General features: G+C 47.0%; 1 protein-coding gene across 3 annotated transcripts in view, besides 3 other annotated features; it reads right to left on the bottom strand.

Annotated features, from left to right (window-relative positions):
- TRIM67 (tripartite motif containing 67) overlaps positions 1–6,323 on the bottom strand; it is a 59,508-nt gene extending 53,185 nt beyond the window's left edge. For 2 of the 3 annotated variants that reach the window (NM_001004342.5, NM_001410937.1), the window contains exon 1: positions 4,368–6,323. In NM_001004342.5, coding sequence (NP_001004342.3) covers positions 4,368–5,411 — 1,044 coding nt within the window. In that variant the 5' untranslated portion in view covers positions 5,412–6,323. The remainder of the gene's footprint in view (positions 1–4,367) is intronic. The other variant, NM_001300889.3, reaches the window with a different exon arrangement.
- Positions 5,423–6,057: an enhancer, noted in NCBI's record as "H3K27ac-H3K4me1 hESC enhancer chr1:231298070-231298704 (GRCh37/hg19 assembly coordinates)". NCBI's record gives its function as "activates a minimal SCP1, AML or CMV promoter by ChIP-STARR-seq in naive H9 embryonic stem cells {active_cell/tissue: H9 hESC(naive)}" and the evidence as "EXISTENCE:reporter gene assay evidence [ECO:0000049][PMID:30033119]".
- Positions 5,423–6,281: a biological region, named in NCBI's record as "H3K27ac-H3K4me1 hESC enhancer GRCh37_chr1:231298070-231298704".
- Positions 5,966–6,281: a silencer, noted in NCBI's record as "fragment chr1:231297846-231298161 (GRCh37/hg19 assembly coordinates)". NCBI's record gives its function as "represses an EF-1alpha promoter that drives an FKBP-Casp9 reporter gene in an ReSE screen in phorbol 12-myristate 13-acetate-treated (for megakaryocytic differentiation) K562 erythroleukemia cells {active_cell/tissue: K562(+PMA)}" and the evidence as "EXISTENCE:reporter gene assay evidence [ECO:0000049][PMID:32094911]".

Raw genomic sequence — 16,043 nt, 5'->3', positions numbered from 1 at the left:
CAGCAAAAGACAGAAAACAACCCAAAATTCAGTATTAAGGTGTTAACGAAATAAAATATAAATGCCTATGATGAAATGGCAGGCAGCCGTCAGAAATGATATACGTTGGTCAGGTGCAGTCGCTCACGCCTACAGGCGTGATCCCAGGCTTTGGGAGGCCAAGGTAGGAGGATTGCTTGAGGCCAGGAGTTCAATTGAGACCAGCCTGGCCAACAGAGCAAGACCTCATTTCTACAAAAAATTTTAAAATTAGCCAGGCATGGTGGTGGGGTGTGCCTGTAGTCCTGGCTACTTGGGAGGCGGAGGTGGGAGGATCGTTTGAGCCCAGGAAGTTGAGCCTACAGTGAGCTGTGATGGCAGCACTGCACTCCAGTCTGGGCAACAGAGAGAGACCCTGTCTCAAAATATTAAAAAAAAAAAAGAATTACAAATATTAAAATATTTTTACCTGTGATCACAGTGCAACTATGACTCCATGTTCTTTGTCACGTATGTATTATCCCTTTTAATAGAAGAGGTGTTTCCTCTGAGCCTTTAAAGCCTAACATACCCTTTTTACAAAATAAGGTAAGACAGCAGGCTGAGAAGCCACCTGCCCTTTGGCAGAGCCTTAAGACGTGAGAGTTGGCTGGGTGCAGTGGCCCACACCTGTAACTCTAGCACTTTGGGAAGCCAAGGCAGGAAGATCACTTAAGGCCAGGAGTTGGAGACAAGCCTGGGCAATGTAGTAAGACCCTATCTCTTAAAAAAAAAAAAGACGGCCGGGCGCGGTGGCTCACGCCTGTAATCCCAGCACTTTGGGAGGCCGAGGCGGGCGGATCACGAGGTCAGGAGATCGAGACCATCCCGGCTAAAACGGTGAAACCCCGTCTCTACTAAAAATACAAAAAATTAGCCGGGCGTAGTGGCGGGCGCCTGTAGTCCCAGCTACTTGGGAGGCTGAGGCGGGAGAATGGCGTGAACCCGGGAGGCGGAGCTTGCAGTGAGCCGAGATCCCGCCACTGCACTCCAGCCTGGGCGACAGAGCGAGACTCCGTCTCAAAAAAAAAAAAAAAAAAAAAGACATTAGAGTGATCAAAAGTCCTGTCTTTTCTGAGCTTTCCAGGCCACACCCTCTCCCTTGCTTTTGTGAGGTGCTGACTCAGTGGGAATAGTACTCCTGGAGTATCAGTGAGATTTTCTTTTAAGGCTCTTCGATTTACCATGGCTCTCAAAGAACTCCAGAAGAAGAGCTTATCTATAAAGAAAAAAGAATTATTCTCTAACCTCAACTTAGGAATCAACTCCTACCCAGTTTAATTCAGAGCTGGCCATCTGCACCCAGCAGGTCAGAGTTCTCCCTGAGTGAGGAGTTATAGATGTTGACATTCTGTGGCATGTCACACTAGGAAAGAGCTATGGTACACAGTAACCCTTTTCTCCAGCTTCAGGAAAAACAGATTTTCATAATCAAGAAGCAAACAACCAAAAGCTCTCCTGTACAGTTACCCTTCCCTATCCCATCTTCACATCAGAAGCTCTTTGAAACAGTTAATCCTCTCCCAAGAAATTCATACAGAAATGTGTTTAGCCAAGACCTAAAGTTTTTTACACTGCTTTTAAAAGGTGATAATCTTATTTTAAAATAGATTTCAGTGTCACATATATGTCTCTTTACTTAAGAATCACTAATCAGAAGGTAAGCTGCAGTAACACCAGAGAAAAATTAAAGCAAGGCTTTGATGATGGCTTCTTTAATCACAGGAATGTTAGAGAAATGTTGCTGTCCCAATTCTAGTTCTGGTGATGCAATGAGGCCTTGTCAAGGTTCTGAGATTTTTAGATAACAACAACAAAATCCAGAGACTTCATGTTTTACTGAAAAACTTAAATTGCCAACAGTGGGAGTCTTAATGGAGGGTTCTAGTTTGTCTTTCAAAAGTAGCCACCCTCACAGCATACATACTGGTCTAGATGCCCAGCCACAAAGCAAGACCAACAGTGTTTGACCAAGGCTCTCCCATTGATCATTTCTTTTGATTGCCAGCCCCCAGGTGAAATGCTCATAATAAGCACTCAGTAGTTTCCCTTTCTGTAGAAATCAACAGCACCTGCTGAAGAAGAACAGCAGCACTTCTATTCATTCTTGAAAACAGGCGTTCACAAAAGTAACTTGTAGTGTTCCTTCTGGATTTAGGAGGATGTCACAAAATTGAGATCCTGCATAGTCATATTCCCACAGTTTACACTGCCCACTCGAGGGGGCAAATATCACATGTGCTTCCCAAATTTCCTCATAACTTTGCATTGTTGGCTGAGGATAGAAATTTTATAAAACTGCTGTTGACACCAAGCCAGGGATGACCAATGATTTTTCCTGTATAACCTTAGTTCTTTAAACCATAGCTCATTATCTAACTCACTTTTCCATGTAAGACAGTTAATTTCTCTTACAATTGCAAATTCTCATCTCAACTCTCTTTGGTTTCCACTCTTCACTAATTCTGAACATCTGAGTGGCAACACTCAGAATTAGTTTTGTCTCTCTAAGCTGTGAAGATTTAGCAGTTTGTGAAATCTGAATGTGAGATTTGGAATCTGTACTTCTTGTCTTGGTAATTGGTCACAGCCCTTTTTACAAATAATTTATTTGTAAAATGATGTTTATTCACTTAAAAGATGAAATAAGCAAGATAGCTACAATTACTGTGAAGCAATATGCAACAAAATATCATATGAATGATAACTAATTCAAGGCAACAATTCTGATTCAGCTCAAAGCTATTTTAGGACTCAGCATAAACACTACCAAAAGTTGCCAGCTCATGTTTTCTCTAGCTAACCAAGTCAGTGAGGCCAAATAAGCACTCTTTGCTACTTCCCTGTAGCTTTCTGCAAATTCACTGGTTTTAGGTATTAGGATTATACAATAAGCAGCAACATTTAATGTTATTTATCAATTATATTTAAGGTGCTTTGCTAGAGGCTAAACATACAGTATTATACTTAATCCTTACCGCAATTGTCTTAAGTTTGGTATTTTTTTCCAATGGGTTTTAAATTGTGCCTAGACTCATACAGCTAGTAAATTGCAAGTCCTAAGATTTGGATACAGGTCTGTGTAACTATAGAGCAGGATTTCTCTCCAGAGCACTGTTGACATTTGGGGCTGGATAATTGTTTTGGGGAGTTTTCCTGTGCACTGTAGAATGTTTATCAGCTTCCCTGGCCTCTATCCACTAGATTCCAGTGGCACCTTCTAGGTGTGATAACTAAAAATGTCCCCAGACATTGCCAAATGTTGGGGAGGGGTTGGGGTAAGGGGTGAAAATTGGACACAGTTGAGAACTACTGCTCTAGAACTAGGGATTTGACTGCATATTTATCTTTTTTTCATATGTATTATGCAAATTCTCCTCTTAAAGGTGGATTCCTAAAGTGTTTCATGTTTGTTTTTTCTAATTTGTTATTCTAAAATGTTAAATTATAATAACAACGTATGCTCATTATAGCAGATAATACTATAGAGTAACTATATATGAACAACAAATCTATATAGGAATGGTTAGTCTCTTAGTCTCTTCCTCTCATCTGTGCTCACCTTTTTGCTTATTTCCAGTTGGATAGCCTTGGCCAATTACTTTATTTTCCTCCTCAATTCAAATATATATTTCTGGCTGGGCTGTGTGGAGACCTCTTGCCTCTGCGGTGACTGTTTACTGGTAAGACTACAAGGAATAATTGGTGTCTGAAGTTCCAGAGGCGGTTAGGGGTCCTTCCCACAAGATTCTAACTCTGCCAGGCCTAGTTCATTGACCTCTGGGGAAGTGAGTCCAATTGCTCATCTTTGGCATTTGGATGGGAAATTTAGGTGAATGTTAGAAAAACCAACTCTAGTCTTGACTTGGGGTCTGATCAAGGACCTAACCAGATTTTGATGGCTCCTCTCTTTCTCGCAGTATCAGATACAAGGACACATTGCCAGCCATAAGTTGCTGAGGGTGGCAGAGGGGAAAAGGAGATCCTGCATGCCTTAACTCAAAAGGGACCATCAAGGTAACTTATTAGTCAGACGTTGGGAGTAAAAGAGCCCTGTGTCTGCGTTTTGGGTGCCCTGTGCCTACATAAATCCTAAAACCTCGGGTGGGTGGGGACCTAATAAGTCATCTTTCCATACCCTTCCCATCTCCAGCATCCAGTCCAAAGTACCGGGAGTCCCTTACCTGTTTGTCAAATGACTATCTGATGGAATGAATGGCTAATGAGTGAGGTAATTCCTGCCTGACCCTCTGACCGACTTTCTGTCAGCTCTCCAAGGGAGAGGCCAAAAGCCTTTCTCCTCGTACCCTCTTCCCTGGCACCTGCACTCCCGCGTCCCGCGGGCTCACCTTGTGCTGCTTCCACATGGCCCCCAGCGGCTTCACCTCGTGCTTGGCGTGCCGGCCCTCCTCCAGGCACAGATAACACACCGGGGTTCGACAGCTCACGCAGTACATGCTGTAGTTCTCCATTTCATGCTCGGGACACGTGGGGAACTTGCGGGCCGTGCTGCCCCCAGTCGCCCCCGCCCCCGCGCCTCCCGGGCTCTTGCAGCCGCCGCCTCCGCTGGGGGCGCCCTGGGCGGTGCCAGTGGGCCCGGAGGCTGCCTCGGCGGGCGGCGGCGGCGGCGGCGGCGGCTGCACCAGGCGATGCTTGGCGAAGGGTCCCCGGGATGGATGGCACTTGAGCTGGCAGGCAGAGCAGTAGAGGACGTCGCACTGCTCGCAGAGCGTGGCTGCTGGCTCTGGCGGGGTGCGGTCGCACAGCTGGCAGATGGCCACCGCCGCGGCTGCAGACGTCCCCGGCACGGCCCCGCGGCCCTGCTGGTACCGCTGCACGATGGCCTCGAGCAGCCGGTTGCGCTGGAAGCCGCGCAGGCCGCGGTGGTCCAGGGATGCGCTGCGGTGGCACTGCGGGCACGTGATGGAGCTCGAAGACGAGGACAGCGAGGAGCAGGCGGCACCCCGAGCCGCCGCAGCCGAGGAGCCGGGTGGTGCGGGCACCATGGGCAGCACGCGAACCCCGTTGGGGGACTTGAGGCTCGGGGTGTAGGACCCGTAGCCGCTGTCTGTCTCGCTGTACAAGCTGAGCTTGTCCGCGTGGTCTCCGCCACCTCCCGCACCGCCGCCGAGGCCGCCAGCTGCACTCCCGCCTGCACCGCCGCAGGCCGGGCCAGCCGCAGCGTCGTGCTCCAGAGAGGCAGCGGCGGCGGCGCCCGCCTGCAGCCCCGATCCCCGGGAAAGCAGGAGCGGCTGGGGCAGGTGCTGCTCACCGTCCGGGGTCTGCACCGCGATGGTGCGAGCGCAAGGCAGGCAGACATTGTGGGAACAGGGCAGGATGATAGGCTCCCGAAACAGAGAGCCGCACACGGGACACTTCAGCTCTTCCTCCATCGCGGCGCCGGCTGCCAGCGCTGCTCTGCGCTGGGGATGAATGGCCGGAGCTCGGGAGACTGGCGGAGGAGGACCAGCGCGGTGCGCCCCGGTGAGACGACGGGCGGGGGCATCACACGGGCATGCCCACTTCACAGCCGAGGGGCACGCCCCTCTCTCTGTCCTGTAGCCACCGCCCTAAGATGATTGAGGGGCGAGAGAAGGGAGGGGGTCCTCACCTCCTGCCCGAGGGTCCCGCACCAGCGGCTTCAACCTGCGGCCAGATTCCGGAGCCGGTCGGCTGCCCTCGCGGTGGCCTGCGAGGAGCTTTAGGTGATGAATCAGCACCAGCGCCGCCGCCGGCTGCAGCGCGCGCCTCCTCTCCACCCCAGGACCAGCGGCCGGGCTGCTGTGCGCTCGCTGCTTCAGCCCCTGGCTCCGGTGGGCGGCTACCCCGAGGCCCCCCTTCTGCCCCGGCCCAACTCCTTATCGGGGTGATAGCGAGGTGAGACAGGCAGGTGCGAAGGCCGCTCAGCCGTGGGGCTGGGATCAGCACCACGAGGCGGCGGACAGCGCCCGGGAGCCGAAGGTGGGGCTCCAGCTGCCTGCTCGCCGACCCCTGGGCCGCCACCCGCCGGGTCGCTGGGGCCGCGGCCACCTCGGCGGGACCCGACCGGCCCGGAGACAGCCGCTCACCCTACTCCTGGGCGGCTGTGGACGCCGGCTGACTGCGCCCTGGGGCTTTCTCCCTGCGGCCGGGATTGACCCGCTTCCCTGGTTCCCAGCTGCTGCTCCTGCGGCGCCTCTGACCTTGGGCCGCGCGACGCTGCAGCCGGCGGGCGGAGGGCGAGCGTCCGGCTGGCTCGGGAATCCCCTCCCCGCCTCCCTCCCGCCGCTGCCGCTGCCTCCCCGCGCGGCGCGCCGAGGAGTTGTAATTTCCAGAGCAGAGAGTAATGGGGAGGAGGGGGGAGGAGGCTTCAGCTCAGCGAATAAGGGCTCGCCTCTTGCTGCTAGGGAATCAAGGGGCAATTTTAAGGGTTTTGCAGGGAGGATCATTGTTAATAACAATCCATTATTTGGATGGAGATTGTATCTTGAATCAGTACAACGACCTGCCCCGCCCCGCCCCTGCCATCGTCTCCCTGGGCCACTCCAGTTCCACACCCCACCCCCAACCCACCGCCATAGAAGGGTGAAAACGGGATCCTAAAAAGCCAGTCGTTTAGAAATGGATAGGCAACATGGCCTGACAGTCGCTTCCTAAAACTACGATAAAGCAAAAAAATCCAAGTCCCAAAATGTCGGGCAGCCTGAAGTCCAAGGGTGAGGTTTTATTTATGAATTGAACCACAAGCCATTTTGTCTCTTCCTTTCAACCAAGGGTGCTCATCCGCGCTCCAGGTCAACTGTGTGCACGGACTGAGAGAGGACACGCGGTGCCGCTCACAAAATGGGGTTTCCTGAGAAAGGCGAGAGCGCGCCCGGGTAGACCCCTGGGAACCCAGCGCCCCCAGACCCAGCCCTACCCCGCTGCGGATGTGGCGGTGTGCGGCGGACGGGAAGGCGGCAAGCGGAGACGTTCCTTTTATGAATGGGAAAATCTCCACATTCTCCAACGCCAGCCACGAGCTGCGGGAACAGCCTCCCACCCGCGGCCCCGGCTGTTTGGTCTGCTCGGCTGTTCTTCCCCGCTGCTGCCGAGGGAAGGCTGGGTGGGGGAGGCAGAGGTGGGTGGGGACGAGCAGAAGAAAGTGCTGGCAGCGCAGCCGGCTCTGCCTACAGAAGTTTCACGCTGGCATGAAACAGATACAAATTAGGAAATCGTTTATTTAACAACGATATGAATATTGAAGTCATGCCTCCCTCCGTCCCAGGTTCTCCCGTGCTCCAAACAAAGACTAAAGACCGGAGTCGTAGCGCCAGGCGCGGGCCCAGGCTTCTGCTAGTCCCCGGGTGAGGAGGCGCAGGCTGGCGGGGTCAGGCAGGGGGAAGCTGCAGCCTGCGCCCAGGGCTTGGGGCTCTGTGCCTAGGGGACAGGAACCCCTGCAGGGGGACCCTTGGGGAGGCGCTTGGCGACGCGCTCCTGGCCGCAGCACGAAGGCCCAGAGCCTTGGAAGTCAGGACGCCCCGGGACCACTGGCCCCACTCAGCAGCTCGCTTAGGCTTTCCCTCGCTCGGATCCTGAAATGCCAAATGAATATTGTCATAATACTCATGTCTGAGAACTAAACGAGCTAGTTGCAAATACAGACGGCGTTTCCTACTTTCTGTTTTTGTTGTGGGGGCGGCGGTTGGAGTCTCTCTGGGTCGCCCAGGCTGGAGTGCAGTGGCGTGATCATAGCTCACTACAGCCTCGAACTCCTGGACTCAAGCAATCCTCCTACCTCAGCCTCCCAAGTAGCTGGGACTACAGGCCTGTGCCACCACGCCAGGCTCTGTTTTAAAATCCTATGAACCTTTAGTCCGGCTTTGCAGCTTGCTTCCAGTTTGTGCCAAAGTTGAAGAGTAGGCCAAGCTAAGGCCAGATAGAGCATCGCACAGCATTAAGAGACCTGACTCTACTTCCCCTCAGCTAGGGGACTTGGAACAATTATTTAACCAGGCATCAGTAGCCACAGATGGGAGATGGTAACAACCTTGTCCTCATCTGCCTTGTGTAGATAAAGCCACAATGAGCTGGATCCTGCCTGCAACTCTCAGATAAGCCTTCCAGAAATGTGCTATGGAATCTTCAGGGTCATGTCAGAAACGCAGTGTATGGGTAGGTCTGTAATTGAATGCACTTAAAGATGCATTTCTGTGACCCTAGCAAGTGCCATCATTTACGCCGGCTCAGCCCAGCCTCCTGGTGACCACAAGGGAAGTCATAACCTCTTATGGTTCTACTGTGAACAGGTCTGCCCCAAACCAGCAGCCATATGGCTGAAGTCCAGTCTCCTTTGTCATTTTCGGACCAAAACAAACTGCTTGGGGGTAGGGGTGGCCTCCTGGAGGGGTGTGTAACTCCTTTCCTGTACAGAAGGACTTACAGTTCAAGCACTCCTCCACTCAGACTGAGTGTAGTTTTGTTTTCCACGGGGAGGAGGTGATCTAGTACATCAGAATTCTACACCTATGCATTTCTCATGCACTCTTGTCACCTAAATAACAAAGAGACAGGCTCTCTAAAAGAAGAGAGGTTTATTTGGGAAAAAAGTACCGCAATGGAAAGATGCTTGCCATAGTAAACTCTGTGTGTATTCAGGGAGGTAACAGAAGACAGAGGTTTTTAAGGGAAAAAAATGAGGAAGATTGAATAATTGTTTTGAAATAATTACCCTTGGCTACAAATATCAATAACAGGGGTGATGCCAGCTCAAGGCTGGACAGGTAGTTGCTGGGCAGATGTCCTGATAGAAGTATTTTTTGGTGTAGGGTTATGATGGCCTCTCTGCAAGATTGTAGGTTTTGGAGTCTTTTGTAGTCATTTTTGTTACGAGGTATTTATGCACGAAAACTCTCCCTTCATGGCTCTGTCAGGGCTTTTTTTCTTTTTTTCTTTCTTTCTTTTTTTTTTTTTTTAACATTAGTGACTCCATTTGGATTCTGACAGCTTTCACTCTCAATCCCCACCACCTCAATTCTACAACATAAATCAGCTTATCCGTGCACTGTACTTTTGCTAAAACATTGTGCATTTGGGGGATTAGCATCCTACCACTCCTTTGTCTGAACTGAAGTTACAAAGCTGGCTTCAATGCTTCACTGTATATAATCATAATTGCTAACAATCGTCAACATTATTTATAAAAAGTCCTCTTTCTGTCTCAACTGTGCCATGAACCATATGCATATAGAGAAGTCATTTTAGTTCTCTGAACCTCTGTTTCTCCCTATTATAAACTTTGGGGATAAAATTCACTGAAATTTAAATTTCCTTCTGGGGCCGGGTGCGATGGCTCAAGCCTGTAATCCCAGCACTTTGGGAGGTCGAGGCGGCTGGATCACAAGGTCAGGAGTTCGAGACCAGCCTGACCAATATGGTGAAACCCTGTCTGTACTAAAAATACAGAAATTTGGCCAGGTGCAGTGGCTCACGCCTGTAATCCTAGCACTTTGAGAGGCCGAGGTGGGCAGATCAAGAGGTCAAGAGATCAAGACCATCCTGGCTAACACAGTGAAACCCCATCTCTACTAAAAATACAAAAAATTAGCCAGGTGTGGTGGCGGGCACCTGTAGTCCCAGCTACTCGGGAGGCTGAGACAGAAGAATGGTGTGAACCTAGGAGGTGGAGCTTGCAGTGAGCCAAGATCGCGCCACTGCACTCCACCCTGGGCGACAGAGGGAGACTCCGCCTCAAAAAACAAAACAAAACAAAACAAACAAACGAACAAAACACACAAAAATTATCCAGACATGGTGGCAGGTGCCTGTAGTCCCAGCTACTCAGGAGGCTGCGGCAGGAGAATTGCTCGAACCTGGGAGGTGGAGGTTGCAGTGAGGCAAGATGTTGCCACTGCACTCCAGCCTGGGCAACAGAGCAACACTCTGTCTCAGAAAAAAAAAAAATTCCTTCTGGTTCTACAGTCTCTGTGTATTAGCTGTTGTTGAGAATGACATATCCCTTGGCTGGATGTCGTGGCTCATGCCTGTAATCCAAGCACTCTGGAAGGCCGAGGCGGGTGGATCACTTGAGGTCAGGAGTTCAAGACCAGCTTGGCCAGCATGGCGAAACCCTGTCTCTACTAAAAATAGAAAAATTAGACAGGCATGGTGGCACAAGCTCCCAGCTACTTGGGAGGCGAAGGCACGAGAATTGCTTAACCCCAGGGGGCAGAGGTTGCAGTGAGCCAAGATTGTGCTACTGCACTCCAGCCTGGGTGACAGAGTGAGACCCTGTCTAAACAAAAAAAACAAAAAACGAATAACATAGTCCCCCCTTTAAAAAATGACACTCACAAAAAAATTTGATCCCCAAATTGAATGACATATCTATTTTTTTTCAAGTCCCTAATATATTATTAAAGGCTGGGCTGTGGGGTGGGTGAGGCAAGTAATAATATTTGCATTGTAACACTTAACAGTGTGGAATGAGAACCTTTTTTAATTTTCAGAACATCTCTGGGAATTAGGCATCACCACATTTCCTCAATTTTAATATGTATAAATGTTTACATTTTAATGTTGCTGAAATTAAAAAGTATACTACAATTGATACATACTTCTGCTCTCCCTACTGTTGCTTTGAAAATTTCCTATTAAATTGATGGTGCATCTTATCATCACTTGGCCTCATGGAAAGTACATTAGTAATTAAAACTCCACAATCTACTGCTATCAAGGCAGAGAAAAACAGACTCTGCCATGAGTTACTTTGGATAATGTACTGCAGGATGGTTTTTACACTTAAGTGTCCCAGAAACACTCAAGAGGCTGAGTAATGTAACCTCTCCTCAAAAAAAAAAAAAGCACAAATCAGTTAAATAATTTACTCCAGCTAACACAGCAAGTTAGAAGTAAATCATCTGCATTCCTTTCAGAATGCTTCGAATTTCAAGCATGAAGCAGAATGGAATTGAAGGCTTTATCAGCTAAAATCAGATGCTGTAATCTCAAGTGTAAGAATCTCTAAAACAAATTTTAAATGAAAGCTTATGATATTTTTTCTTTTAGTTTTTTGGGTTTTTTTTTTTAACAGTTTAGGGTGAATTCAGGAAATTCAATAGAAATCTACAGACCAGAAGCCATCTGGTCTAAAGTAGTTTGCATTTAACTCAAAGAAAGTGACCATATCCACATCTAGGCATAGTGTACCAAAGCGTCTCTGCAGCAAAGTTAATGAGGAACAATTATCACTAACAACATAAAGCACTCTCCCCAGGGTGTGTAATTGGCTTCTTTTCCAGAAAACAATTTCTATTGAGTAATCTTAAAATCTAGCCATTTTTCCCTTCAAACATCCTTGATTGGTGCTTAACAACCTTGTTTTAATTTCTGAATACCAAATGATGACCACCCCCTTCTAATTCCGAGACTCATCTTCTGTACGGATCAGGTGATCTGGTCTTAGAAAGCCTGCTTTTGCCTCACTGCATCTTTTGCAAGCAAAAGAGTTTAGAATCAAATCCCAGATGAAGAAAATTGATTTCAATTTAGAGGATTCTTTATATACCCAGGGTATCTTTGTAATGCATGAAAACTAATACTATTACCACAAAAGCAATTTTTGGCACTTCCCTCTGGTTACATATTTCAGCTATAAGAATTGCAGTAGTACTGTACACTTTCATGACACCCCTTCACATATTTTATTTTATTTATTTCAGACAAGGTCTCGCTTCATCGCCAAGGCTGGAGTGCAGTGTTGTGATTATGGCTCACTGCAGCCTTGAACTCTTGGGCTCAAAGGATCTTCCTGTCTCAGCCTCTAGAGTAGCTAGGACTACAGGTGCATGCCAGCATACACAGCCAATTTTTCTTTTTTTAAACATGTTTTGTAGAGATGGGGTCTTACTACATTGCTGAGGCTGGTCTTGAATTCCTGGCCTCAAGCAATCCTCCCACCTTGACCTCCTAAAGTGCTGGGATCATAGATGTGAGCCACTGTGCCTGGCCCCATTATTTAATTTAATCCTCACAGCAACGTGGGTTGGCCTGGGAGATGATGAAAATGAAGAAAGGACCCTGACCCACATAGTAGGTTTCTACTAGCCGTGCTAATACAACTTGATCCCAAATCTAGGCACAATTGTTTAGTTCATGGGTGGGCAACTGACTAGGCTGAGCCAGTCAGAATCTTTTCTTCCTGAAATGTAGAATTGGAAACCAGAGAAAGAATCTGGATGGGCCTCTAATACAGATGTTAAGGAACTGTTGTGGTCCTGAAAAAGAAAAAAAAAAAGAAAAAGAAAAAGAAACAGAGAGTGAAGAATAAAGCAGAAAAGCAGAAAAAGAAGAGAAGACCCCTCCTGAGGTCTCACAACAGCTCATGTTTCTGAGACTTGGCAACATTCATGAATAAAACTCCCTTCTACCCTCAGGAAAAATGTAATTTCCCTTCCTTATTTTTCTTCCTTTCTTTCTCTCTTTCTTCGCCCCCCCCCAACCCCCCCACCCTTCCACCCTCTTTCTATTCCAAAACTAGCTGGGGAGATGAGGGGGTACTTCAGAAGGATAAGATTGGTTAACCCATTGGCCTATTCAAACAATTAGGGGAACACCCTTATTTAGTTTGACACTTTAGTCACCTCTGTTGGGACATTGAAATATTTCTTCTCCCCAGCTTCTCTTTATTGAATTCTGACCTTGACTCTTTATTGGTTTTGCCCTTGTCATTCTCGGATGCTATTTTCTCCTCATAGCTTGACCATTTCAGTCCATTAAGCTCCGTTTGCTCTCATCCTAACCACCCACTCTAATGAGCCATTTGCTTCCCTTCCTTGGGCTCCTGCTTCCTCTCCCTGACCACAGCGAGAGCCATGGCTCCATGATGCCTTTGTTCTCTCCACTCAATATTCTCTTGAACAGGAAATCAATGTTAGATTGCACTTGATGGTGCATGTAACTCCAACGGCCTCTCATATTAAGACAAAGAGCAAAAACCCTCGAGGTTTGTAAACTGTGGAGTGCTATACTGGGGATAACAAGTTACTTGTTACTTGGTGAGTATAAGAGAGATCAGAGCACAAGTTGTGGAACAGGGCATGAAAAGTGCTTTCAAACTCTGATAGCCTTATTCAGCCATTTCCTCTGTAAGGCTCTACCACCAGGGAAAAAATGCTCATGCCACAAGACAGGGCACCTTTCACATGGCAACGTGCTATAAACCACTGAGAACCATGTCACCATTCAATTCACTAGGCTGCAGTGTTACTTATAATGTGGAAATTACTATTCAAGTGCAATGACTGCAGTTTCCTAACAGCAACCAGCAACCACATTTGACTGATTTCTACATAAGCAGCCCTTAGGTTTGGTAGCAACTTGACAGACCTCCTGAGTTCTGCATGGCGGTTGGGAGTGTTGGCTTGGAAGCCAGACCACATAGGTTAGAATCCTGGCTCTACTGCTTACTAGCTGAGAAAACTTTGGCAAGATGCTTCACCTCTCAGCCACTTGAATTTCTCATCTGTAAAACTGAGATAATAAAGGTACATACCTTAAAGAGCTGGGACTACCCAATAAAATAACACACGTAAAACATTTAGAAAAGTCAATGTATAGTGCTCAACAAACATTAGATGTTGTTACTTTTTAAATTTTCTGCCCCTTGGCCTCATAATACAGGACATGGTTACCGTTGAATGGCTGATTCTCAACAGATACTTGTGAATAGGTGAACTGCAAGCAGACTGTTTTGGCTGGAGTGTCAGGCTGTATTTGAGAATAGTGGAGAGAGTGAGCCGCTTGTCTTTTGTGATTGAGAAGGGAAGATGGAAGAGCTATCAGAACCATCTATCAGGAAATGGCTGTAATATCTAGAAAAAACACAATCTCTGCTCTAGAGGAGCTTAATGTTTAAAGCAATGATCATGGCTAGAGGCAAAATAATGGAAATAATGAAGCTTGCAAAAAACAGAGAGCAAGCTTTTTTTTTTAAAAAAAGCAAAGGAAACAAAGAGATACATTTAAATATTTATGCTGTCTATAGATTAAGGGTTAAGAACATTGATTTTAAAGCCTTTAGTGAAAGAATGCCAGATAAAGACATTATGACCTAGTAGTACTTGCACATAATTTATATAAGGTAACTGGATAATATTTTGATATATTAATCAAAATAGTTTCAATTTTTAAAAATAATTTCTTATTGTCATAGTAGAACCAGAGAGAAAGAAGAGAGTCAAGTCTTGAAAAGCTACAAGCTTCATAGAGGACCTGAAGTGGCTATACAACGTGTTCAGACAGGCAGGCCAGGGCAGCCCAGCTGGGTCCCTATACTCCCTACAAGTGCACCAGAAGCACCTGAATGTTTTCTTCTGTGTCTCAGACCTAGCCCAGAAAATTGGCAAACCTACAGCAGCCTTTTAGTCAGAGTCTATAAGAGCCATATGCCCAGAAGCCAGACTGAAAAACAGCTATCTCAGCAGAAGTCAGTGTGTATGAGGATGACAGTGACAGTGATAGGAACCTAGATAGGTACCTAGATACGAACCTAGATACTTAGTCCACCTACACAGACACATGCTGTCACAACAGAAAACACTCCAGAACTGAGGTTTACTGCAGGGAGGTGAGGAGGGAGGGCTGAGGGTTTGCCTGGAAATCACCCAGACACTCAATTGGCTGTTAATATATTTCCATCATCTAGCAGAATGGTGGCTGAAATAGAAGCTAAATTCACCTGTAGAGACAATAAGAAAGTTACGGTTCTTATAACCCTAAGTTTGTGGGATGAGATTCGTGCTTGATTTGTATCTTTCATTATTTAATCATCACAACAGACCTGTAAAGTGGGATTATGATAATCTCACTTTATAAATGAGAATGTAAGAGATGGAAAAGAATAACTGCTCAAGTGTGTTGGGCCATTAATTGGTGAGACAGAAAATTTTCTGATGGGAATGCAAATTGGAACAGTCACTTTGGAAAACAGTTTGACAGTTTCTCATAAGTTCAACACAAACATCATAGAATCCAGCAATTTCACAGTTACATATTTACTTAGATATCCACACCAAAGACTTTTATGTAAATGCTCAGAGTATTTATTTATAATTGCCAACAATTGGAAATAATTCAAGTATACATCAACTGGTGAATAAACAAATTATAATAATACAATGAAATATTACTCCACAATAAAAGAATGAACTACAGACACATTGATATAGTTTAGATAATTGTCCCAGCCCAAATCTCATGTTGAATTGTAATCCCCATTGCTGGAGGTGAGGCCTGGGGGTGGTATCTGGATCATGGGGACAGATTCCTCATGGCTTGGTGCTGTCTTTGTGATCATGAGTTCTCACAAGATCTGGTCATTTAAGAGTGTGTCGCACCTCCCCTTTCCCCACACACACCCTCTCTCTTTCTCTTTCCCTCTATCTCTCTTTCTTTCTCTTTCCCTCTCTCTCTCTTTCTCTCACACATGAGCACATGTGCTTGCTCCTGATTTTGCCTTGTGATATGCCTGCTCCCACTTCACCTTCTGCCATGATTCAAAGCTCACTGAGGCTTCACCAGAAGCCAAGCAGATGCCAGCACCATGCCTCCTATAAAGCCTGCAGAACTATGAGCTAACTAAACCTCTTTTATTTATAAATAACCCAGTCTCAAGTATTTCTTTATAACAATGCTAGAATGACCCGATACAGAAAATTGGTACTGAGGAGTGGGACAATGCTATAAACATACATAAAAATGTGGAAGCAACTTTGGAACTGGATAGCAGGCAGAGGTTGGAAGAGTTTGGAGGGCTCAGAAGAAGACAGGCAGATAAGAAAAGCTTGGAATTTCCTACAGACTAATTAACTAGTTGTAACCAAAATGCCGGTAGTGATATCGACAGTGAAGTCCAGGTCAATGAGGTCTCAGATGGAAATGAGGAACTTATTGGGAACTGGGGTAAAGGCCCCCCTTGTTATGCCTTAGCAAAGAGCTTGGCTGCATTATGTTTATGCCCTAGGGACCTGTGGAAGGTTGAGCTTCAGAGTGATGATTTAGGGTAACTG

This window comes from Homo sapiens, chromosome 1, assembly GCF_000001405.40.
Source record: "Homo sapiens chromosome 1, GRCh38.p14 Primary Assembly".
NCBI lineage: Eukaryota > Metazoa > Chordata > Mammalia > Primates > Hominidae > Homo > Homo sapiens.
Note: the sequence above shows the minus strand (reverse complement) of the source record. Positions and strands in the feature narration are given on the sequence as shown.